Here is a 25,037-nt window from a genome sequence, read left to right on the forward strand (position 1 = left end):
CAAACGGAACGGATCTCCGCTGGAGACAAAATGCGACACAAGACGACCCGCCCTTACCCCCAGGGAGCTTACTGTGAGCAAGGGAAAGACAGACAATGAAAAGGAATCGCAGAAATCACATCATTACAGATTATACGACAGGTGTCAAGAAGCAGCAAAGCATCCAGAGGGCACCTGCGTCTATTTTTCAAAAGTTTGTTTTGTTTTGGTTGAGACAGGGTCTCGATCGGCCGCCCAGGCTGGAGTGCCCTGGTGAGATCTCAGCTTTGCAGCCTCGACCTCCTGGGTTCAAGCGATCCTCCTGCCTCAGCCTCCTGAGTAGCTGGGACTACAGTCACGTGCCACCTTGCCCAGCTAATTTTTGTATTTTTTGTAGAGGTTTCGCCTCTACAAAATGGGGTTACACCATGTTGCCCACACAGGTCTCGAACTACTGGGCTCAAACAATCCTCCTGCCTTGGTCTCCCGAAGTGCGGGGATTACAGGTGTGAGCCACCGTGCCCGGCCTCTATTTTTTATTTTATTTTTTATTTTTTTTAAGGGCAAGAAACCTTGGTTATATAGAACACACACAAAAAGATATGATTTGGTATTTTTAAATGTCCTTTGCTTTGCCTCATCCATAGGAAGAAATAAAACTTTACATGGTTATCTCATCACAAATCTGTGAGGGAGGCGCTATTTTTTATCCCTGTTTCACCAATGAAGAAACTGAGGTTCAGTGAGGTTAAATCACTTGCCAAAGGTCACCCAGCTAGGCGGCACAGGGCTGGACTTCACATCCACATCTGACTCTGCAAAGCCAGTGCTTTCTAACAGCCCCCCTCCCCACCCCTGAAGCTGTGTACATGTTTTCCTACTGTAAGGTGGTTTCTCTGAGAGCAGAGATCATGTGTGGCCCATCTCTGTATCCCACTGCAACTGCCACCATTGTCACTCCACACAGGAAAGTACTTGGGAGTGTGGGTGTGGCACATTTAGAATTCTAGCAGTGAAGTCTGATCATATGTGAGCCATGAACCCCTATGAACCATGTGGGCTTTCCCTTTCACTAACCGACTGGGCACAGTGGAGTCTGCAGCCTATGGTTTCAGGATAGAGAGCCTTAGCTTCTACGGACAAAGTTTCCCTCCCCAGCAGACACTTTCCAATACTGCCTATCTCTCAGGGCCACACCACCATCCTCTACATCCCACGCCCATCTCTCACCATCCTTATTCTCCTTCCCAGGGCAGTGCGGAAGGACACAGGTGTCAGGCATTTTGAGATCTTCAGAGAAGGGCAGGGCTGCCATCACCATGGAGTATTAGAGCTGGAAGGGGCCCAAGGGCTCATGCAGTCTGTTCCTTGGTTTTACCCCTCTCATGATGCTGCTTCACAGTCACACTGGCCCTTGGTCTGGCCAGCCACATAGCTAGCCTGGCAGCAGTAGCCTCAAATCAAGGGGGGAGGCTGGCCTGTAATTGTTACACTCTGTGATGATTATGAAGTCAGCTCATTGCACCTGCAGACTGTCCAAACTAAAGGTGGGCCACTGCCCCCACAGTTTCTCTCTGCTTCTGGTCAGCTGGGTTGTCCTGCATGGTGACGGGTGTCATCCCGAACAAATCAGATGGCATCAGAGGCACTCCATCAAGTGGGAGATGGGGAGGAGGCTGTACTGAAGAAAGAAAACTTCAACATGATGAATGCCCTTGACCAACTGCCAAAACCCTTTTCAAACCCCAAGTCTATGAACCGGACCGTCACTACCAAAGGACTCCCACTAGCCTCAAAGGGCAATTTGGTCAACTTCTTGGAGGATGATACCATCAACCTACTGTAAGTCACAAATCTGGTCCCTCCCTCCCTCCCTCCCTCCCTCCCTTCCTTCCTCCCTTCCTTCCTCCCTTCCTTCCTTCCTTCCTTTTTTTTTTTTTTTTTGACAGGATCTTGCTTTGTCACCCAGGCTGGAGTGCAGTGGTGCAATCTCGGCTCACTGCAGCCTTGAATTCTTGAGCTCAAGTGATCTTCCCACCTCCACCTCCCAAGTAGCTGGGACTATTGACGCGCCACCACCACACCTGGCTAATTTTCATATATATATATATATATATATATATATATATATATATATATATATATATAAATTTTTTTTTTTGGTAGAAACGGGGTTTCACCGTGTTGCCCAGGCTGGTCTTGAACTTCCGGGCTCAAGCGATCCTCCCGCCTCAGCCTCCCACAGTGTTGGGATTATAGGCTTGAGCCACCATGCCTATAGTTTCTAAGAAAGGCTGGAGCCGAGGGCTGGGCAGAGAGACAAAGAATCTATACTTCCCTGACTTGTCACAACCCAGTTCCTTGACTCCCAGAGAAGAGCGTGTGGGCAGGTTGGATCTATTTATGTATTCCTGAGCCCCAAATCACTTCTTGGAGGCATATGGAGCTCCCACTCCAGGAGGCCTTCTTGGATTAGTCAGTTTGTTGACAGTGCTCCTTATCCTGCCTTGACTGGCTGTGGTCCTCACCATCACCAAATCCCTGACACACCCATGGCTCCTCTTCCTCAACCCTCTCTCTTTGGTACCTTCATCTACCTGACTGCTCCCCAGTAGCCTGCCTTCCTTCGGACTGGGTTTTGCTGTTCCTCCTCACCAAGTCTGGTTTTCCTCTACTTCATTCCACAAAACTCTTTGAGCACCTGCAAGGTGTCTGTCCCAGTGTTTAAGTTCTGGGAACGCAGAGCTGGAAAGCACAGTCCCTGCCTTTAAGGAGCTCCCAGTCTGGCATGTGGAGGTCAGGGGTGAAAGGATGGGGATCATGCAATAACCAGAATGATATAGCATGGTCTGGTAAGTGCCAGGACAGGATGCCTTGAGGGACCAGAGGGGCTTAGTATAGCTTGAGACTGGGTGCAGTTGAAGGAGGCTTCTTGGAGGAAGTGATATTTGAGCTGAGTCTCCAAGGAAGGAAAGGAGTTAGCCAGTGAAGGGGTGGTGGTACAGGGTGATGTGGGCTGAGGGAATTACTTGCAGGTCACCCACCACATGGGTGAATGACCTGTGCAGTCACAAATAGCCCTGCACTTACAAGGGGCCTGTGCTTAGTTTAATGCTTTTCTGTTACTATCTTCAAATTCAGAATTTTTGAATAAGGGGCTCAGGGTACTTCAATTTGCACTGGGCTCCACAGACTACATAGCTGGTCTTGAGTATGTGAGAGGGATGTGGTGTCCATTCCCCAAAGTGCCCGTAAGCAAGCAGGTATGGCTAAAGTGATGGATGCTCGTAGGAAACTTCATGGTATACTGGGAATCTTGGACTAGAAGCCCAAACTCAGATCCAAGTTCTGCCACTTAGAGATTTATGGTCTTAGACAACTTAATTAAGATCGGAGGCCAGATGGGGTAGCCCACGCCTGTAATCCCAGCACTTTGAGAGGCTGAGGCGGATGCATCACTTGAAGTCAGGAGTTTGAGACCAGCCTGGCCAACATGGTGAAACCTCGTCTCTACTAAAAATACAAAAATTAGCTGGATGTGGTGGCACGCACCTGTTGTCCCAGCTACTCAAGAGGCTGAGGCGGAAGAATCCTTTGAACCTGGGAGGTGGAGGTCGCAGTGAGCCAAGATTGTGCCACTGCACTCCAGCCAGGGGTCTGGGAGACAGAGCAAGGCTCCATAAAAAAAACAAAACAAAACAAAAAAAAAAACAGATCAGGGACCCTCAGCCCCTTGTTTGCCAAATGGGGCTAACATCCATCCAGCAGAGCTGTTGTGAACATCAGGAGGAGGAGATGTTCAGCATGTAGCCAGTGCCTAGCGGCCTTCTGTGCTTGCTTCAGTACCAGCATTTGCAGTAAGTGAATCTGAAATATTAATTCATTAGGACAATCTAAAGCACATATGACATTAATACCCAGACTCTTCAGTCTACAAAAGACCTTGGTGGGGGAATCATTTATTCCAAATGTCCACCAAGCGCTAGCATAGGGGATCTGGGCTAATCAGGATTTCTCAGGAGGAGGCTGATGAGGCTGGAACCTGGGGAGGAAAAACTTGGCCCGTTCATCAACCAAGACCTGGGAGGCTGGATGGGAGTAAGGGATCCACAAACTGTGGATTGTGACCTATTAATGGGTCAAGAAGTCCTTCTAGTTGGTGAAGACCACTATGATAAAAATAAACTGGCTGGGTGCAGTGGCTCACGCCTGTAATCCTAGCACTTTGGAAGGCCAAGGCGGGCAGACCACGAGGTCAAGAGATCGAGACCATCCTGGCCAACATGGTGAAACCCCTTCTCTACTAAAAATACAAAAATTAGCTGAACATGGTGGCCGCACCTGTAGTCCCAGCTACTCGGGAGGCTGAGGCAGGAGAATCACTCTCACCCAGGAGGCGGAGGTTGCAGTGAGCTGAGATCACGCCACTGCACTCCAGCCTGGCTGAGAGAGTGAGACTCCATCTCAAAAATAAATAAATAAATAAATAAAATAAACTATAATAGAATTGGAAATTCCAGAGCCCATTGCACACAGAGTAAGTGTTGGTCTGTGAAATGTTTGTCTTAGTTATAGGCGTATATATGCATGTACTAAGTTGCCATGGAAAGTGTATTTTACTTTGGGTAAAGGTAAAAAAAGATTTGAAAGCCAAACTTTTTGGCTTGGTGTTCTTCATCAGTTAAAAAAATATTGTTTTTTGTTTGGCTGGGGGCAGTGGCTCACGCCTGTAATCCCAGCACTTTGGGAGGCTGAGGCCGGCAAATCATCTGAGGTCAGGAGTTCGAGACCAGCCTAACCAACATGGTAAAACCCCATCTCTACTAAAAATACAAAAATTGGGCAGATGTGGCAGTGTGGGCCTGTAATCCCAGCTACTCGGGAGGCTGAGGCACGAGAATCGCTTAAGCCAGGGAGGCGGAGGTTGCAGTGAGTCGAAGTCACACCAGTGCACTCCAGCCTGGGCGACAGAGCGAGACTCCAGCTCAAAAAAAAAAAAAAAGAAAAAAGAGTAAAAACAGAAAAAAGAAATGTTAAGTGGTGGGGATCATGTACAAGGTTTTTCTTTGTAATAGCAAACATCTCATAACAATACAAATATCCATATAGGCCGGGCACAGTGGCTCATACCTATAATCCAAGCACTTTGGGAGGATCACTTGAGCCCAGGAGTTCGAAGTCAGCCTGGGCAACATGGCAAAACCCTGCATCTACAGAAAAACACAAAAATTAGCTAGACATGGTGATGTGCACCTGTAGTCCCAGCTACTCAGGAGGTGGAGGTGGACGGATGGCTTGAGCCTGGGAGTTTGTGCCACTGCACTCCAGCCTGGGCAGCAGAGGGAGACCCTGTCTCAAAAAACAAAAACAAAAACAAATATCCATGTAATGGAAAATCATAAAACAGTAAAAACGACTGAACCAGAGCTACATGTATCAAGATAGATGAATGTCAACACAAAGTTGAGTGAAAAAAGCATGTTGCAGATGGGTATGTGCTGAATAATATCTTTTATTTGTACAACATCTACAAACGTGAAAAATAATAGATCTTGCCTAGGGATAACATAAATATGTAAGAAACCTATAAAGACACACATTGAGTAATAAATACACAATTTAAACTTTACTGTACTCATTACTTGTCGGTCGAAGGATGGGGACTTTGGTGGGAGACAGAAGTGTCTGGGGGGCTTTACCCATAGTGATAAGATTTTATTTCTAAAGGTAGATGAGGAGTAAATGGAGGTTTAATATAATATTCTTGATATTTTTGTATAAGTCTAAAATACTTCATAATTTTAAAAAATTCAGAGTGGAAGAAATAAGTTTTTGAGCATCCACACCAACATATGTATATTTGTTTTATTTTATTTTTGAGACAGGGTCTCACTCTGTTGCCCAGGCTGGAGTGCAGTGGCAGGATCTCGGCTCACTGCAACCTCCACCTACCAGGCTCAAGCGATCCTCCCACCTCAGCCTTCCAAGTAGCTGGAATTACAGGCAACCGCCACCATGCCCAGCTAATTTTTTGTATTTTTAGTAGAGTCAAGGTTTCGCTATGTTGGCCAGGCTGGTCTTGAACTCCTGACGTCAGGTAATACACCCACCTTGGCCTCCCAAAGTGCTGAGATTACAGGTGTGAGCCACCGCGCCTGGCCCATATATGTATTTGTATTTCTGTTAATTTTACGTGCTAGATATTAATAGGTATTATTAAATGCCACTAAAATGTAAGTAAATATTAGTAATTCCATTAAAATTTAAACAATAGTAAATAAACATTAGTGAAATTGAATGTATTACTTCCATACCCCAGTAGATCTTTGTGGTTATTCCCTGGGGCATTTGCACCCCACTTTGGAGGGAGGACTTGCCATTTTAGCATGTTTTTTAAATTGTGGTTTGCAGAACACTTGCATCAGGATTTTCTAAGCTTTTTTTTTTTTTTTTTTTTTTTGAGATAGAGTTTCACTCTGTCACCCAGGCTGGAGTGCAGTGGTGTGATCTCGGCTCACTGCAACTTCTGCCCCCTGGGTTCAAGCAATTCTCCTGCCTCAGCCTACCAAGTAGCTAGGATTACAGGTGCCAACCACCGCACTCAGCCAATTTTTGTGTTTTTAGTGGAGACAGGGTTTCACCATGTTGGCCAGGCTGGTCTGTAACTCCTGACCTTGAATCTGCCTGCCTCGGCCTCCCAAAGTGCTGGGATTATAGGCGTGAGCCACTGCGCCCAGCCAGGATCTTATTAAAGATGCGGATTCTCTAGTCCCATGCTAACTGGGGACCAGGGACTAAAAGTCTGCATTTTTAGTAAGTGCCCTGGTGAGTCTAATGCAATGCTATAGAGCAATGAGGCTGTTCCAAGCTGTTTGCAAATGGCTGGGGATGCTGGTAAGTCAGGCCCAAGGCCTGCCCTCAGGTGGAACGGGCTGGGGTGGCCTCCTTCATCTGATTCACCTGTCTCCCCTTTTGCTCCAGGAAGCCGCTGCCAGTAGAGGATTCAGACTGCAGCTCTGATGAGACCAGCATCTCTGCCTTCTCATCCACCTTGCTGAACCCCATCAAATTAGCTGTGACCCAGCCCAACAGCAGCTTCTTTGCAGGGATGCTGGAGGGGGAGCTGAACAAACTCAGCTTCTCCCCAATGGCCAAGAATGCAGAAAATGAGGACCTGGCGCTCGGCCCCTGCCCATGCCCATCGAAGTCCCAGATGGCCACAAGGGGCCTGCTGGACCTTGACAACCCTGAGCTGGAGACAGAAACCTCCTCAACGCACTCAGAATCTTCTGTGGTTGTGGACCTGCCGGACACCCCCTTCATCTTTGAGCACACCGTCAACAATTCCACAGCTGTGGTGCGTTTCCCTTGCTCATGCGTTCAGCAGAGGCTTATTGTGCCAGGCACTGAGCTGAGCTCCATGGGTAGTGAGAAGGTGCCTGCCACCTGCATGTCGACCTCAAGTTCACGGTTTAGGAAGGGAGAGGATGTGTCTGTAAAAACTCCAGTGCAAGACAGAAAGGGTTCAGTGCTGTAGGAAAAGTTCAGAGCAAGTGCCACCAGGAATTCAGAGGGAAAGATATTTCCAGATGCGGGAATAAGCTTGGTGGCTTTTGGTAACATCTGAGCTGGGATGTAGAGGTAGCATGTAAACATCTAGAGGTGGAGGAGGGAGGCATTCCCTGGAGGGGCGGACCCTAGCAAAAGCTCACAGGAAAGTGAGGGAGGAAATCTCAATTTGAACAAGATGGTAGGTGATCTGTAGGAACATGAAAGCGTGAGAAGCCCTGGATGAGGACCTGGGATCGAGTGAGGCTACTCAGAATTGCTGGGCCTCCTCCCTAGAGGGTCTAGGGTGAAGCCTGATAATTTGCATTAGTAACAGATTCCCAGAGGATGCTGTGGCTCCCCGTCCGCGGGCTACACGTCGAACAACACCGTCCTACACTATGGGAAGTGAAGACAGGGGACAGGATGGGGAATGTTAGTCTGGGATCATCTTCCAGAGTCCTCCAGTGTTAGACTACTTTATAGACTTTTCTGTAAGTAATAGGGAACAGCTTTGTAAAAAGCTTCACATCAGATGATGAAAGCAATTCGAGCTGTATCTTGGGAGGATGCCTGGAATTCCACTGTTGGATGGCCCAGAGCAGTGTTTCTCAAAGTGCTCTCCAGATGGACAATGTCAGCATCACTCAGCAAATTGTTACAAATTTAAATTCTCATCTCCCTCCACCACATTTGGGCCTCCTGAGTCAGAAACTGTTGGGGCGGAGCCCAGTAATCTATCTTTTAATAAGTCCTCCAGGGTATTCTAATGCACACCAAGTTTGACAAACACTGGCCTAGATGGAGGAGAAACCAGACAGGAGGCAGCAGGCCCAGAAATCTGCAGTTACAAAATCTCCCTGAGATGCTTAGCCAGGCTTGGCAACCATTGTAGTACAAAGTGTATGGGCTCTGGAGCTATGGGTTTGAACACTGGCTGTCACTTAATTGCCGTATGATGATGGACCAGTCACTTGCCCTCTCTGGACCTAGTCGATAAGATGATCTCTAAGGTCCCTCTCAGCTAACAGAGTCTAGACAGAGTCTAGAACCAACCTTTTTGGCACCAGGGACTGGTTTCATGGAAGATAATTTTTCCATGGATCCGGTTGGGGGGATGGTTTCAGGATGAGTCAAGCATATTACATTTATTGTGTACTTTATTTCTATTATTATTACATTGTAATATATAATGAAATAATTATACAACTCACCATAATGTAGAAACTGTGGGAGCCCTGAGCTTGTTTTCCTGCAACGAGAGGGTCCCATTTGGGGGTGATGGGAGACAATGACAGATCATCAGGCATTAGATTCTCATAAGGAGCATTCAACTTAGATCCCTCCCATACAATTCACAATAGGGTTCACGTGCCTATGGGAATCTAATGCCTCTGCTGATCTGACAGGAGGCAGAGCTCAGGTGGTACCCTGAGCCGTGGGGAGCAGCTGTAAATACAGATGAAGCTTCGCTTGCTCGCCCACCAATCTCCTCCTGCTGTGCTATCCAGTTCCTAACAGGCCATGGACTGCTATCAGTTGGTGGCCCAAGGGTTGAGGACCCCTGGCGTATAAGAAATATGGAATGAGGGTGTACCCTAAAGTGGGTGGGGCTGCCCAGGAGAGTAGTACATGCTTCGGGGCAGGGGTTCCACACTCAGTGCTGCAGTACCTTGCACCTTCCATCTGACCTGCCTGGGCCCCAGCAGGAGCAGGGGATGGGCATGGGACGTCCTGACCCCAGTTGGGAGGGTGAAGGGACAGGAAGGACAGGACATATCTGAGGAAGCCTCGGGGCTCTCTCTTCCCCTAGATTTCCTGGACCTACGCCTTGGGCAAGCAGCCGGTCAGTTTCTACCAGCTCCTGTTACAGGAGGTGGCCAAGACACAGGAGAATGAGTTGCCCGAGGCAAAGAATCGTCCATGGATCTTCAACAAGATTTTGGGCACTACTGTCAAGCTGATGGAGCTAAAGCCTAACACGTGTTACTGCCTCAGTGTCCGTGCAGCCAACACAGCTGGGGTGGGGAAGTGGTGCAAGCCCTACAAAGTGAGCCCTGGGAAAAGAGGGGCCTTGGGGGTGGAGAGAAGTCCAAAGCCAGGGAACCAGGGCTTTGGAGGTTGGGAACACCCCTATGCCCACATGACTCATCTGGCTAGCTTTCCTTCTGCCTGGGTCAAGAAGCATCAATTCCAGAATGCATGCTTCTGGGAGGTTTAAGGATTAAGCCACTCTGGGGCCCACTAGGAATGCAAACGAATGTATTTTTCAACATCACTATAATGTTCCCCTTCCAAAGCCATTGGTTTTTAGACTCTGCAATTCAGTGCCCATGATTGTGAGTAGGCTGGGAAGTCAAGGGCATTGAAAGAAATAGGGAAGACAAGAGGCTAAAGGGGGACGAAGAAGGGAACAGCCTGGGTATGGGGTAGGGGTATGGGGGTATAGAGGCCTGAGTACAGACAGCCCTTTGGTTGGAAATATCCCATAATGAGGAGGTACAGGCTTGAGTCATGCATCTTTGCACCTGTTTCCTGCGTCAATGGCTAGGTTGGATAAGGCTGTTTAAGGTCTGAGTCAGCAGACAGAAAAAAAAGGGGTGATAGAGACAGAGAGAGAGCCAGGTTCAGATCTGGGAAGGAACTCTGAAGGGTTTTCTTGTTTCACTTCAGTTTGCAACCCTGGCCACTGACTTCAGCAGCTTTCCTGAGAACTACCCCATCCAGATCACCGTGCGGCGCAAGGAACCCCGGCAAAAGATCGTGTCCATCGGGCCGGAGGAGATGCGGAGGCTGGAGGATCTGGAATACCTATTTCCCTGTTAAGGGGGAGGGCCCCAGGACACCCCTCACCTACTTTCAGCTTCAACCCCAGGCCCTCAGAAACCAGAGCCATGAGACCTACCATACCACCAGCACCCTGCGGGCCCGGGGTCTGGCAGAGTGGTATGGGCACCCCACCCCTGGGCTGGGGCCAAGGCTACATAGGGGCCCCATTCACCTGGAGGCATCTCAGGCCAGGCCATGCCAGGCTCAGCCACTGCCCACAGCTGCTAGACTCCCTCCTCCTCCAAATCTGGGCTGGGTCTAGGTCCCTCATTAAAGAACTGCAGGTCATCCAGCACCCTAAAGTCTGCTTTATGCTGCAGACAGCCTCAGATGGGCTGGCTGGCACCCACCTCCTAGCTTCCACCAGGACAGAGTCTACATGGGTGGGGAGATAGAAAACAGGCAGCTAGGCAATAGGATGCTGCCATCACCCCTTCCCCAGTGGGGCGGGGTAGGGGAACAGGGAGACTGGTGCTCTAAGACTAAAAGGCTCTTACACCAGAAAAATACAGAAATAGCTGTCATGGACAGACGTGGTGGCCCATGAACTGTCAAACTAGCTTGAGCTCTGGACGGAGGGATGTGGTACAAAGTGCACAATAAGCTTTGGGGCAGGGCCTGGTTTAATCCCAGCTTTCTCTTACTAGATGTGAGGGCATGGGCTAATCATTTCTTATGTTGTTTCCTCATCAAAAGTTTTGGAGCTTGAGAACCTTCCAGGCCTGGTGCAGTCTGAGAGCACAGCAGACAAACAGCTGGCACCAAGGAGCTCAGTGGCTGATAGTTTTGTTCGCTTCTTATGTAGCCTCACTGCAGATATGTGCAAGGTGGAGGCCAAGCACCACAGCTAGGTGACGCGCAAAACCCAAAAGCACAGACAAGGGTGGAGGAGGGTAAGAAGGAGCAAGATGCTAGTTCTGAGCAGTTTATACAAGGATGGTTTGGAAATCCAATCTGAGTAGTTCAGACCATGACCCTGCTTAGCATGGGATGCAGGAGAAAGCAGAGGCAGGGTACATTCAGGGCAAGATCTCGGCCTGGGGTCTGAGTCCTGATGGGAATTCCTTTCACTGCTTGAAAGTTCTCGTGGCAAAGAACTTCCTCTGTATCAACAATACCCACTTCTGCTCAGAGCTCATACTGCTGCCTCCCCATCTGAGGGAATCCTCTGGAAGAGCCATCACCTTCCCCGCTCTATCCCATGGGCCCAGGGCAGTGCTTGGTGCCTGGCAGGGCCTCAAGCAGTGTGCTATGCGAAGGCAGAGGCATCCCCTGGAGCAGGGCTGACCAGCAGAACTCTCTTGATGATGAAAACCTTTCTGTGTGCTGTCCAATACTGGAGGCCTTACCCAGTGCGATGGAGGAACTGCACTTCTATTTCATGCCAGCAGTCACATGTGGCCGGTGCCTACTGCAGTGGACAACAATACAGCCCTAGATTCTCCTTGGCCACTATCACAACTGGCCTCTCTCTTACCAACACGGGGGAAGAGAGGGAAGGCAAGTGCCTGGTCAGTGTGGTTTTGGCGTAGTCCAGTGCAAGGGCGGGGGCTGGACAATCTCATTTAGCACAGTCCTTGATTGAGTCATGGGGATTCTAGGACAAGGAATTAGAACCCAACACACAAAACTTAAGTTACTTATTTGGTCATAGAACCTGGGATCTGACCCTGTACAGAGCTGACACTAGGGGCCCACTCATAGAGCCTGGCTGCCCACCACCCCTGTCTGTACCAGCAAGGTACAGAGTAGCAGACACGGGCCAAGTTCAGTGACAACTTCCTGTGACCTTCGATTTCTGGCTCTGGGGTGTGCCACAGGCGGGGATCTGTGGGAAAACCCCATTCCGGTCTATCGAGGACAGCAGGCCACACGCATTCTCAGGTCCCCACTGGTGGGGAGGGTGTGTGCACTGCCATCTCAGCCTTTGTTCTCTGGCAGGGAAGGCAGCTGGCAGAGGCCGAGTCGAGGTGGGGGTCAGAGAGAACTTCGGGCCGTCTCATCTCCTCCATCTGTGGAGAAGGGAAGGGTGTCAGGATGGGGATTCCACCTTAGGAAAGGGAGGCCGTCATATAATCCCAGTGTCAACAGACGGACGGCCTGTGGTCCACCCTCAGAGTCACCAAGAGCCAGGTGACCGTCCCTGCTCTGCCCACCCAAACTCAGGCTGCCCACTCACTGCCTGCTGCCACCAGGACCTCCACCCAGGGCCTGGCCCTCGGGATGCCCACCAGCAAACAGTCACAATCCCTTATAAGCACACAACACTTTGTCTTCCAGAGTGTTGACCCTCCTATTTTTGATCCTGTCTGTGAAGGTTTGATAATTCCCAAGAGACTGATTAACCAAGTTCTCTGTGATTACTCCATGGCAGAACCAGGATTTGAACTCAGGTCTTGCGACTCTGAAGTCTAGTGACAGAAAGACCTGGATGCGCCCTCTACAAGGTGTCCTGTGGCCCCTGTTGTTCCGGTGGCCCTCCCACTTGCCCACTGACAGAAAGACCTGGACGCGCCCTCTACGAGGTGTCCTGTGGCCTCTGTTGTTCCGGTGGCCCTCCCACTTGTGGCCCTCCCACTTGCCCACTGAGAATCTGGCTCCACACGCCTCCTCAAGACAGTCTGAGCACCTGGACGGCCCTGCGGAATTCTATGCTGTAAGGGAAAGTGTGCACAGAAGGACCTTAGGGGTAGGAGGGCTGTGTATGCCAACCACCACTTCCCCCACACTCACATCCGGAGGCATTTGTCCTTCCCACCACTTGCCACTCTCTGGCCATCTGGACTCCAGTCAACAGCATATACCTAAAGGGAGGCAGAGGAAGGCAGGTGGGGTGGTGAGAGGGAGACAGCCAGCCAGGCTCCAATCCCAGTCCCTCCTTTGCCTGAGGGTTGGCCCTACCTCATCCGCGTGGCCGGGCAGGTCCATGGCCAGCTTCTGGGCCTTCACATCCCACACCTTCAGTGTGCTGTCACTGCTGCCGCTGACCAGGAGCCGACTGTCAGCTGACCACGCAATCTGGTACACGGCAGCCACGTGGCCGCGTAGGGAAGCCAGGTACCTGGTCCAGGAGAAGACGATGATGGATTTTAGTCTGAGTTACATCTTTCAACACGTCTGAAGGGTCCCCTACGCTCATGGCAGTGGTTCTCAACCTCGGCTGTCTGTTAGAAATACCTGGGAACCTTTACAAAATCACACTGCCTGGTCCCCATCCCAGACCATTTTTAATCATTACCAGTCATTACAATTTGTAAAACTTCTCCAAATGAGTAGCTTCTAGCATGCCTCTTGCTTGCCCTCCATACCTGCACAACTTTGCATGCCTTAGACTCCAACGTGGCCATCTGCTTAGCCCATCTGCCTGTCATCCCCCCAAACAGCAAGTGCCTGCTGACAGGTGGCATGGAGTAACAGTGGGCCCACTGAACTTTCACGTCAACACAGTCTAGCTGTTTCTCTTTGGACAAACCATCAGGCCTCTCTGAGACTCATTTTCCTTATTTTAAAAAGGAACCCAATTACCTATCTTAAAGGGTTGCTGTGTGAAAACACAGTGACGTCACTAACGCAGAGGTCCCCCCTTCAGCCCTAACAAGGTTTCCCTGGCTCTTTTTCTCCCCCTTGCCTGTGCCTTTGCCTCTCCTCTAATCCGATTAACCCCAAGAGCACTGTGCCTCATCACACCAAGGGTTCCCATACTTGAGTGGGTAGCAGAGTCACCTGGTAACTTTGTTAAAATGAAGAATCAGATCCACAAGGTCTGAGTTGGGGCCAGGACTCTGCATTTCTATCAAGCTCCCAGGTGATGCTGATGCCGCTGGTCTGTGGCCCACACTTTGAGGAGGGCCAAGTAACAATTGTACCACAAGCCTACCTACCACCACTTCACCTTCTCCAGGGCTACAGCCCTACCTCTTCAGCAGCTAGCTCTAAGATCACTTCTCTCCTAAGACATAAACTAGCATTTTTTTTTTTTTGAGACACAGTATCACTCTGTTGCCCAGGCTGGAGTACAGTGGTGTGAACTCGACTCACTGCAACCTTTGCCTCCCAAGTTCAAATGATTCTCCTGCCTCAGCCTCCGGGGTAACTGGGATTATAGGCACGTGCCACTATGCCTGGCTAATTTTTGTATTTTTAGTAGAGACAGGGTTTTGCCATGTTGGCCAGGCTAGTCTCGAACTCCTGAACTCAGGTGATCTGCCTGCCTTGGCCTCCCAAACTCCTGGGATTATGGGCATGAGCCACCACGCCCAGCCTGAACTAGCATTTTTAGTGACCACTTAGTGCGGGTCCTAAACATACTGTCTCATTAAATCCGTGTAACTAGGCTGGGCATGGCGGCTCACACCTGTAATCCCAGCACTTTGGGAGGCCGAGGCAGTTGGATCACTTGAGCTCAGGAGTTCAAGACCAGCCTAGTCAACATGGTGAAACCCCGTCTCAACTAAAAATACAAAAATTAGCCAGGCACGGTGGCGGAGGCCTGTAATCCCAGCTACCTGGGAGGCTGAGGCAGGAGAATCACTTGAACCCAGGAAGCAGAGGTTGTAATGAGCCAAGATCGTGCCGCTGCACTCGAGCCACTTGAACACCAGGTGACAGAGTGAAAGTCATCTCTAAAAACAAACAAACAAACAAACACCTTGTAACAAAGCTGAGAGGTAGGGGGTCTGCATATTACCAAAGAGGAAACAGTGGCTTAGAAAATCCAAACACCTGCCAAGGCCATACAGCTAGTAAGTGGCAGTGCCAAGCCCCTCCCACCATTCACTCCTTACAGAGAAGCAGTACCCACCCCTACTCACTTGCCCGTCCTGCCATCCCACAGCTTGATGGACTTGTCAAAGGAGGCACTAGCCACGATGCGGGAGTCAGGAGAGAAGAGCACCTGGTTGATGAGAGCTTGGTGTCCTGTCATCCGAGTGAGAGGCTTTTTGTCCTCTGCTGGGGACCACAGGAATAAGGTGAAGTCGTCGGAGCCAGACACCAGCCTCTCTGGACCCTGGCCCTAGGGGAGGCAGAAAGCACACTGTGTTGGGTGTGGTCTCAGAAAGAAGGAGGAGGGCCCGACTTTGGCAGCAAGCATACACCCTGATTACTCAATGCCAGGGACAGAGAGAGGCCAGCGCTAGGAGCAATGAGGACTGGCTTGGCCACTCACTCGCATGTGACCCCAGGCAAGTCACTTCATCCAAAAGGAAAAAGAAACTCTACATGCATGTAGAAAAAAATTTTAAGATACATAATTACAGAAAAAGGCACAAAATAATGTGTTAAAAGAAGGATTTTATGTATGTATGCATGTGTGTGTGTGCTTATACATATATACTGTATATAGACACGTGTCTGTATATTAAATCTCTGGAAGGTGATTCAGGATACTGGTGGCACTGGATGCTACAATAGAGACGGGAGACTCCGCGATCTACCTTTTGTATTTTTTGAACGTGAATGTGTGAACAATCTTAAACAACAAATTAAAGTAAAAAAGAAGCATGTTGGAAATGTAATAAATAGACAAGCAAATAAACTAAACAAAAAACGAAATAAAATGATCTCTAGCACATTAGTATTTTAGGATTGCAAACTAGGATTATGAAGAACAACTTTTTGGAATAGGTACATTCTGAGCTGGGTCTAGAAGGGAGAAGGGTCTGAGAGGGTTTTAGTGATTGGCTAAGGACTGGTACAGAGCTAGGGGTGCACGTGGCTGGCACACACTCACCCGCACGAGGTTGTATCGGCTCAGAGCCCTCTCCTTCAACTCCTGCACTGTGACCAGGTACCGGAGGGGAGAAAAGGAGATGAGGAAGAAGGCCGATAAGAAAATCCAACACAAAGAGCAAACACTCCCCATTAAGCTTGAGAACTGGCTCCTTCCCAATCAGCCCCCGCTCTTCCTTCTCCCAATCACTCACAGGATCCTTGGAGGTCTTGGGGATTAACTGAGGCCTCAGCAGGTTCAAAGGCCCCAGTGCGCAGGGCATAGTCAGTGCTGAGGGCCATGGTGTTCACCCAGTGGCCGTGGCCTTGCAGAGTCCGGCACAGCACACCCTACGGGAGAGCGAGTCAGGTCAGACACACACACTCCTCCCCACGCCTGGGCGATTAGCCCCAGGAGACAGGTGGTACAAGACTAATAATCATCATCACTCATGCATTGTGATCTTAATCAAACTACCCCTCTGGGGTCAAGTCTCTCCCCACTTGTAAAATGGAGTCCAGATCATGAAAATGTTTCATGGAAGAGGAGTTAGGGATGTCAGAGTAAACGGCTCCTGTCCAATACATTTGGGATATGGTAGATCTGATAAAGCCCAACAGCTGTCCTACAGGAGGAATTTCCAGAGTGTGACGATCTCATGGGGACTCTGCAATCTCCACTATGGTGCAGCACCAACCACAGAACTCCTCATTCCCAAAACACCTCCCTAGACCAGGGCTCCCAGCACACATCTGGGAAACACTGGACTCGCTGATGTCAAGGTCATTCTGAGTGCCAGCATCTTGTGACTTGCGATTTTCTGGACTGGTTTCTGAACCCTCCCAGCACTTACGTCATGAGCTCTCCAGACTTTGATGGTGCGGTCCTGGGAGGCAGAGTAGAGAAGCCCGTCCCCTCCCCACCGGAGACAGGTGACCGACTGGGTGTGCCCGGTGAGGATGCGCTCACAGCGGCCTGCAGTTGTGTCCCAGATCCGCACACTGCCATCCTTGGAGCTGCTGGCCACATAGCGGCACTCAGGGTTCCTGGAGAGAAGGGAGATGTGACCTCATCTGTGACCTGGCAACATCTGTGTGCCCATGGCACCTCCCCATTCCCAACTTAAAGGCCATGGACAATCTTTTGACAGCTTTTCTGACACCAAGACCCGGCTGCACTGCAAGGTGACTGCAACCAGCAGACCCTGTGATGAGAGCCTCTCCCAAGCAGCAATGCAGGTCTGCCCGAGACCCTTCTCCCATGCCTGCCAAGCCATCACGGTCATTCAGGCTGCCCATCTTGTCCCCTCACGTAAAACTTCTATGCATTGGGCAGGGAAAGGGGATGGCTTTGATCCCCTGGCTCATTTGTCCCAGCTCCGTCAGTGTCACTTACGCATGGAGGGGCTCCCAGCTCAGGCCTGTGATCCACTTGCTGTGGCCAGCGAGGGTCCTGCCCACCTGCTTCCCTGTGCTTGGGTCCCAGAGGAGAATCTGAAGGACAGAAGCTCACTGAATAATCCTCCCCAACAGGTCTCTGGCTCCACCAAAATCCCTGCCTACCACTTCCCACCCAACCCTCCCCAAAGACTCCTGAACCTGATTCTGAACTGTCTCCTAGGAAGGCCCCCTTGAGTCTCTGCCTAGTTACCCTGAGAACTACCTACCTGGCCATTCTTGCAGCCTGAGGCCAGCTTCCTGCCATCTGGAGACCAGGATATACTAAGGACCCAGTGTCTGTGTCCTAAGAAAGCAGAGGAGGGAGAAATAAGGGACTACATCTGTCTTTATCCCAAGTGCCCAGCAGTGCCTGTCAGGTGCCAGGTACTCCTTAACCATTTGAATAAATGAATGATTGAACAAAAGGAGCGATGAGGCTTTCTGGGGATGGATAGAATGCACCCCAAGTGTTAGAGCTCTGCATCTTGCTGCATGGATAACACCATCACTCTCTAATGACTCCTTATGTGACACATGCTATGAAGTGTTTTTGTACATGTCATCCCTTGTTATTTCTCACAAGAGCTCTAAGCTATGGAGCAAAGCAAGAATTATCATCCCCATTTTCCAGATGAGAAAATTGAAGCTTAGAAAGGGAACATGCCCTACACACACAAGGTCACTTAACTAATCTGTGGTATAGCAGTGGTTCTTCAAGTGTGGTCGTCAGAGCAGCAGCATCAGCATCTCCTGGGAACTTGTTAGAAATGCAGATTCCCAGGCCCTACCCCAGGCCCAATAGAACTAAACCTCTGGGGGTGGGGCCCAGCAATCTGTATTTTTTTCTCTCTTCTCTTTTCTCTCTCTCTCTTTCTTTCATGGAGTCACACTCCATCACCCAGGCTGGAGTGCAGTGGTGCCATCTCGGCTCACTGCAACCTCCGCCTCCTAGATTCGAGCAATTCTTCTGCCTCAGCCTCCCCAGTGGCTGGGATTACAAGCACACGCCACCATGCCCGGCTAATTTTTGTAGTTTTAGTAGAGATGGGGTTTCACTGTGTTGGCGAGGCTGGTCTCAAACTCCTGACCTCAAGTGATCTGCCTGCCTTGGCCTCCCGAAGTGCTGGGATTACAGGTGTGGGCCACCACGCCTGGCCAGCAATCTGCATTTTAACAAGCCCCTGAGGCGGGGCAATTCTGATTTGTGCTCAAGTTTGAAAACCACTGTGGCAGAGGCAGGATTTAAACCAGGTTCTCCTTGGTAGCAGTCAGTCAGCCTCTCACCATGTCCCATATTGACTCCTTGGTGCAGTTTCTGCTTGTGTCTAAGTGGCTGGCTGGGCTCAAGGACATGGTCTCTACCTAGGAACAGACAGCCGCCAACTGGATATTAAGGGGTTGTAATCTGCAAAGTGAGACCCTCATCTGTATGAAAACAAAAAACGAGCCAGGTGTGATGGCAAGTGCCTGTCATCCCAGCTACTCTGGAGGCTGAAGTAGGGGGACTGCTTGAACCCAGGAGTTCAAGGCTTGAGCCCAGGAGTTCAAGTGAGCTGTGACTGCACCACTGTACTCCATCCTGGTCAACAGAGCAAGACCTTGTCTCAAAAAAAAAGAAGACCCCCTAAATGGCTAATTGCATACTGACCCTTGCATGTGAAATGTGGTGTCTCTGTGCTGAGATCCCAGAAGCGCACGGTGGTGTCTCCAGAGCCACTGGCCAGGTACCTGGGGAAGAAGAGAGGATGCTTGACACTGCACATGTGCATTTGTGCCACCTATTCAATCACTTTCTGTGAATAGAATATGGAACTGGACTCTTTCCTCGCCCCTGGAAGGGAGAAAGACAATACTGATGCTGTCCTCTGGGAGAATACATCAGGAGGCCATTTCTTTCCTCTCCACAGCTATAACCAGCTTTTGAAGCTTCTCATTACCTTTCTAAGTTTGAGAGAAGCAACTAATCCCAGTTTCACAGATGAAAAATTAACTCGGAAAGGTTAAGTGATTTATACAAGTCACACAGCTCAGATCTTGAAAAATCAAGTCTAGGAGAGGTTTGTCCAAGGCAGGGGTCCTTAAGCAGCCTTTGGGGACCATGCCCTACTGAGGAAGTCCCTTAATTGCAAGCTGAGTCCAGAGCTTGGGTCTATGGTAGGCAGCCCTGAGGCCCCATCAATTATAACTCTGGGAGACCCTCCCCAAACCAGGCAAAGACTGCACCCCCACATACCCCCTCCATGAGTCTGCAGCTGTCCTTACTTTCCCGTAGGGCTGAAGGCCACAGAAATGACTGCCTCACTGTGACCCTCCAAGGAGCTGGTGCAGCGAGTCACAGCCCGGACTCTGAAGATAGCCTGTGGCTGGTAGATGATGTCTAGGACCTTCTCTGTCTCCACTGCCTGGGACTCCAACGTCTTCCCCAGTGAGGAGACGATCTCAGCATCGTGGACAAAGAAAGCCAGTGGCAGGGGATCCTCCTGAAGGACAATGGTAAAGGACAAACCCGCAACAATGGATGTGCAGGGGCACCCTCTGCCAGGGATGCTCCCCACTGAGCTGTGGGAGGTGAAGCTTCTTCTTTTCAGCCATCGTGCTAGGGATACCCCCATCATTGCCCATTGAGCAAGACCTTTTATTTATTTATTTATTTATTTTTGAGACAAGAGTCTCGCTCTGTCACCCAGGCTGGAGTGCAGTGGAGCAATCTCTGCTCACTGCAACCTCCGCGTCCTGGGTTCAAGAGATTCTCCTGCCTCAGCCTCCCGAGTAGCTGGGATTACAGGCACCCATCACCACGCCTGGCTAAGTTTTATATTTTTAGTAGATACGGGGTTTCGCCACATTGGCCAGGCTGGTCTCAAGCTCCTGACCTCAGGTGATCCACCTGCCTCGGCCTCCCAAAGTGCTGGGATTACAGGCGTGAGCCACTGTGCCCAGCCTAGCAAGACCTTTTAAGTCACTGAACAGCAGTTGCAGGACACTTACACAGCACTTGGAAATTCTTTTTTCTTTTTTTTTTGAGATGGAGTCTCGTTCTGTTACTCAGGCTGGAGTGCAGTGGTGAGATCTCAGCTCACTGCAACCTCTGCCTCCTGGGTTCAAGCAATTCTCCTGCTTCAGCCTCCCGAGGAGCTGGGACTACAGGCGCCTGCCACCACGCCTGGCTAATTTTTGTATTTTCAGTAGAGACTGTTTTCGCCATATTGGCTAAGCTGGTCTCGAACTCCTGACCTCTAGTGATCTGCCCACCTCAGCCTCCCAAAGTACTGGGATTACAGGCATAAGCCACTGCACCCGGCCTGAAATTCTTTATCTGCATCTCATAACAACCGTGGGAAGTAGATACTAATATTCCCACTGACAGTTTTCAAAAGCAGAGGCTCAGAACAACTAAGTAATTAGTTCAATGTCCTATTGCCAATGATTAATTCAGGTTCTTTACGTCCAAGATAGGATTAGCATATAGCATTATGCAGTGTTTCCCAAACTACCACACTACACTATATTTGTGTAAAAAGCTCCCAAAACGCCTGTTAAAAAATGTAGACTTTCTGCTTCATCCCAGAGTTTGGTTTAGTAAGGCTGGGATGGGGTCCAGGAACTGCAATTTTAAGGACCTCCCCTGTCCCCAGGGCAGCTCTTCAGTAAACACACTGGCTTAAAGGTTAAAAGCAAAGGCCGGGTGCGGTGGCTCACGCCAGTAATCCCCAGCACTTTGGAGGCCAAGGCGGGAGGATCACGAGGTCAAGAGATCGAGACCATCCTGGCCAACGTGGTGAAACCCAGTCCCCACTAAAAATACAAAAATTAGCTGGGTGTGGTGGCGCGCGCCTGTAGTCCCAGCTACTCGGGAGGCTGAGGCAGGAGAATCGCTTGAACCTGGGAGGCAGAGATTGCAGTGAGCAGAGATCACGCCACTACACTCCAGCTTGCCAGCCTGGCGACAAAGTGAGACTCCGTCTCAAAAAAAAAAAAAAAAAAGGTAAATAAATAAATAAATAAAAGCATGGGTATTCGGATAGTTTTGGGTTCCAATTCCAAATCTGCTACCTACTACATAGCATCGTGCAAAATACTGAGTCCCTCCGGGCCACGCTGTAAAATGGGGATATTAACGTGTCCCAGACTGGGGGACTGTGACAAAGAATCAATGAAATACAGCATCCGGTGCGTTCAAAGCTAGGCCCCTCTCCGCAGGTGGACCCCTTTGGTTGGCGTGTAAAGCGCTATGCCACTGATTCCATCTCTGACATAGGTGGGAGCTCACGCCAGGTGGGTCACCACAGTCCGTTAGCGGGGGACCATGAACCGCAGACCCTCGGTAATATGATTCCCCCACCGCATCCGCCCGGGGGTGGAGATGCGAGGCCGCCCTGGCCAGCCACTTACCTGGGCCAGTAGCGCGTTGCACACGAGCTGCAGCCTGTCCGGGGTGATGTCCACGGGCACGTCGAACGGGGAACCCAGCAGCTGCCCGCCCTCATCCTGGAACTGCACTAGCAACCGCTGCACATCGCGCGCCACCGCCTCGTCCTGCGCGAGCAAGTGGGGCGGGAGTCAGTCTGGTCGCCCGCCCAGAAGGGCCCCACTTCGCCTCTCTCAGGCCTCAGGGACCCGGGCCCTAGCGCCCCGCGGCGACGCCCCCCGCCCCCATCCACGCACACCCACCGGCACTGCTGCCGCCATCCTGCGTCCCCACGTGGAGGAGAAAGAGCCCGGCAGACAGAGCGCCGTCTCCGTGGTCGGGCGGGGTCGCCGCCGGCCACATCGCCCTCTGCTGTTGGGGAGGAGAAGCGTCCCGCTGCGCACGGCCTCAGGGATTAGAAATGGGCTTACCTGGTGCTCCTCCCGCCCCTCAACAGCCTTCACATTTATTTTTCGCCAGGGTCTTAGAGGACACAGTAAACTTTTGACTCTTCACAACAGGGATTCTTGCCCCATTTTAATTTAATTTCATTTTGAGACAGAGTTTCACTCCGTCGCCCAGACTGGAGGGCAGTGGTGCCACCACGGCTCACTGCAGTCTCGAACTTTCTGGCACAGCGATCCTCCCACCTCAGCCTCAGAGTAGCCTGGACTACAGGCACATGACACCCTGCCCGGTTATTTTTTTCTCATTTTTTGTAGAGACGAGGTCTCACTATGTTGCCCAGGCTGGTCTCAAACTCCTGAACTCAAGCAGCAAGTCCCCCACTCCCCAGCCTCAGTGTCCCAAAGTGCTGGGATTACAGGTGTGAGCCACCACGCCTAGCCTAGAAATTAGTATCCTTTTAAAAATGGATCAAGTCAAGGCTGGGCGTGGTGGCTGACACCTGTAATCCCAGCGCTTTGGAAGGCCCAGGCGAGCAGATCACTTGAGTCCAGGAGTTCGAGACCAGCCTGGCCAACATGGTGAAACCAGGTCTCTACTAAAAATACAAAAAAATTAACCAGCCGTGGTGGCATGCGCCTGTGGTCATAGCTACTGGAGAGGCTGAGGTGGTAGATTCTCTTGAACCTGGGAGGCAGAGGTTGCAGTGAGCCGAGCTCTCACCACTGCACTCCAGCCTGGATGACAGAGCAAGACTCTGTCTCAATAAATAAATAAATAAATAAATAAATAAATAAATAAATAAATAAATAAAATGGATCAACTCAATAATACTCGAGTACAAAAGCAAATCATTTCTACAATCATCAATGCTGTAAAGCAATAATAGTGATAATGACATCAACAAGTCAGGAATTGTTCTAAGTGCTTTCCCACATAACTCATTTAATTCTTACAACCCTTTTCTCCCCATATTACTGAGGAACTGAAGCAGACAGCAATGAACTTGAGCTCTTTTGCCTGAAACGAAGGATCTCCCTTGCCAACTCTCCTCTCTCTCCCTCCACTGCTCAGGCAGTCTCAAGCTCTGCCAAGTCATCCTCATGAACACAGCTTGAATCTGCTCTCCCCATCTCCACTGCCTCACTCTGGTCAGAGTCACCATCATCACCTGCCTGGACCGCTACAACAGCCTCCCGATGAGCCCCCCCATTTCCATTCCTGCCTCTTTCTACCCATTCTCCACGATGCAGCCAGGGTTATCTTTTCAGACCAAAAATCTGGCCTGCTGCTCTTCACCCTCAAACCCTGCGACGGCTCCCTTACATGCAGGAAAAAAAGAACACTCCTTATAATGGTCAATTCAGCCTTGCTATGTCCAGCCACCCCTCTCTTTAGGTTAAATCTTGCTGGCTTTTTCTGAGTTCTTACAAGGCATGGCTCTTCCTGCATCAGTGATTTTGCCCATGCAGTTTTTTCTGTCTGGAACTGTTATGGAGTGAATTGTGCCCTTCCCCTAATTCAAGCTTGTCCAACCCCTGGGCCACAGGCTGCATGCAGCCCAGGATGGCTTTGAATGCAGCCCAACACAAATTCGTAAGCTTTCTTAAAACATTATGAGATTTTCTTTCGATTTTTTTTTTCAGCTCATCAGCTATCATTAGTGTATTTTATGTGTAGCCCAAGGCAATTCTTTTTCCACTGTGGCCCAGAGAAGCCAAAAGATTGGACGCCTCTGCCCTAATTTATATATTGAAGCCCTAGCTCTGAATGTGGCTGTATTTGGAGATAGCATATATTATTATTATTGTTTTTTTTTTTTTTTTTTAGAGACAGGGTCTCACTCTGTTGCCCAGACTAGAGTGTAGTAGTGTGATCATAGCTCACACAGCTTCAAACTCCCAGGCTCAAGTGCTCTTCTTACCTTAGTGTTCTGAGTAGCTAGGACAACAGGTGTGTGCCACTATACCTGACACTCGGCTAACTTTTAAAAATTTTTGTAGAGACAAGGCTGTCACTCTGTTGCCTAAGCTGGTCTCGAACTCTTGGCCTCAAATGATCTTCCTGTCTTAGGCCTTCCAAAGTGCTGGGATTACAGGTGTAAGCCACCATGCCTGGCCTGGAGATGGGCCCTGAAAGGACATAGGAAGGGTTAATAAGTGAGTTTGTATGGGTAGGACACTAATCAGATAGAACTGGTGCCCTTGTGAAATGAGGAGACTCCAGAGTACTCTCTCTCTGTCTCTCCCCGCCCCCCGCACTGCCTCCCTGAGCACACACAAAGATGAGGCCATAGTAGGACACAGTGAGAAGGTGGCTGTTTGCATCCAGGAAGAGAGGCCTCACCAGAAACCAACCCTCATGGCACCTTGACCTTGGATTTCTCTACTCCAGAGCTGTGAGAAAATAAATTTCTGTTGTTGAAGCCTCCCTGTCTGTGCTATTTTGTTATGGTAGCCAGAGCCAACTAATACAGGAATAGTTCCTCATTCTTCAGGTCTTGCCTTGAATATTTATTCATTCATCCAATAAATGTATTGAGTGCCTACTCTCTGCCAGACGTTGTCGGAGTTCTATGTGTATCAACTCATTTATCACTTACGCAGGGAAACCTTTGAAATGATGTCATATGATGTCATATTTCCCTGTTGTATGTTTTCAAAACATCCTGGTATTCCTCACATTTAGAAATCACAGATCCAGCTGGCACAGTGGCTCA

General features: G+C 49.9%; 2 protein-coding genes and 1 long non-coding RNA gene across 5 annotated transcripts in view, besides 2 other annotated features; 1 reads left to right on the top strand and 2 right to left on the bottom strand.

Annotated features, from left to right (window-relative positions):
* Positions 1–1,441, bottom strand: part of RAD51L3-RFFL (RAD51L3-RFFL readthrough) — a 112,411-nt gene extending 110,970 nt beyond the window's left edge. Inside the window, exon 1 of the long non-coding RNA NR_037714.1 lies at positions 1,210–1,441. This is a non-coding gene — a long non-coding RNA (RAD51L3-RFFL readthrough). The remainder of the gene's footprint in view (positions 1–1,209) is intronic.
* Positions 52–111: an enhancer, noted in NCBI's record as "active region_12059". NCBI's record gives its function as "activates an Ori minimal core promoter by ATAC-STARR-seq in GM12878 lymphoblastoid cells {active_cell/tissue: GM12878}" and the evidence as "EXISTENCE:reporter gene assay evidence [ECO:0000049][PMID:35858748]".
* Positions 1,534–10,651, top strand: FNDC8 (fibronectin type III domain containing 8). Its single transcript, NM_017559.4, has 4 exons — positions 1,534–1,821; positions 6,961–7,336; positions 9,341–9,577; positions 10,201–10,651. Exons 1-4 carry the CDS (start codon positions 1,613–1,615, stop codon positions 10,351–10,353), a joined length of 975 nt encoding a protein of 324 aa, NP_060029.1. The 5' UTR covers positions 1,534–1,612; the 3' UTR covers positions 10,354–10,651.
* Positions 8,649–22,222, bottom strand: NLE1 (notchless homolog 1). Of its 3 annotated transcripts, NM_018096.5 has the most exons (13): positions 22,177–22,222; positions 21,898–22,041; positions 19,768–19,985; positions 19,154–19,233; positions 17,733–17,809; positions 17,462–17,559; positions 16,920–17,112; positions 16,281–16,416; positions 16,088–16,134; positions 15,168–15,370; positions 13,258–13,417; positions 13,090–13,160; positions 8,649–12,368 (listed from the first exon to the last, which is right to left on the bottom strand). In NM_018096.5, the coding sequence occupies exons 1-13, from the start codon at positions 22,192–22,194 to the stop codon at positions 12,356–12,358; spliced, it is 1,458 nt and encodes a 485-aa protein (NP_060566.2). In that variant the 5' UTR covers positions 22,195–22,222; the 3' UTR covers positions 8,649–12,355. The 3 variants fall into 3 exon arrangements, with proteins under 3 accessions (NP_060566.2, XP_016880266.1, NP_001014445.1); NM_001014445.2 differs by lacking the exon at positions 22,177–22,222 and having other exon boundaries at positions 11,241–12,368; positions 21,898–22,170; XM_017024777.2 differs by lacking the exons at positions 21,898–22,041; positions 22,177–22,222 and having other exon boundaries at positions 19,739–19,825.
* Positions 21,653–22,530: an enhancer, noted in NCBI's record as "H3K27ac hESC enhancer chr17:33468753-33469630 (GRCh37/hg19 assembly coordinates)". NCBI's record gives its function as "activates a minimal SCP1, AML or CMV promoter by ChIP-STARR-seq in primed H9 embryonic stem cells {active_cell/tissue: H9 hESC(primed)}" and the evidence as "EXISTENCE:reporter gene assay evidence [ECO:0000049][PMID:30033119]".

This window comes from Homo sapiens, chromosome 17 (genome assembly GCF_000001405.40).
Source record: "Homo sapiens chromosome 17, GRCh38.p14 Primary Assembly".
Lineage (NCBI taxonomy): Eukaryota > Metazoa > Chordata > Mammalia > Primates > Hominidae > Homo > Homo sapiens.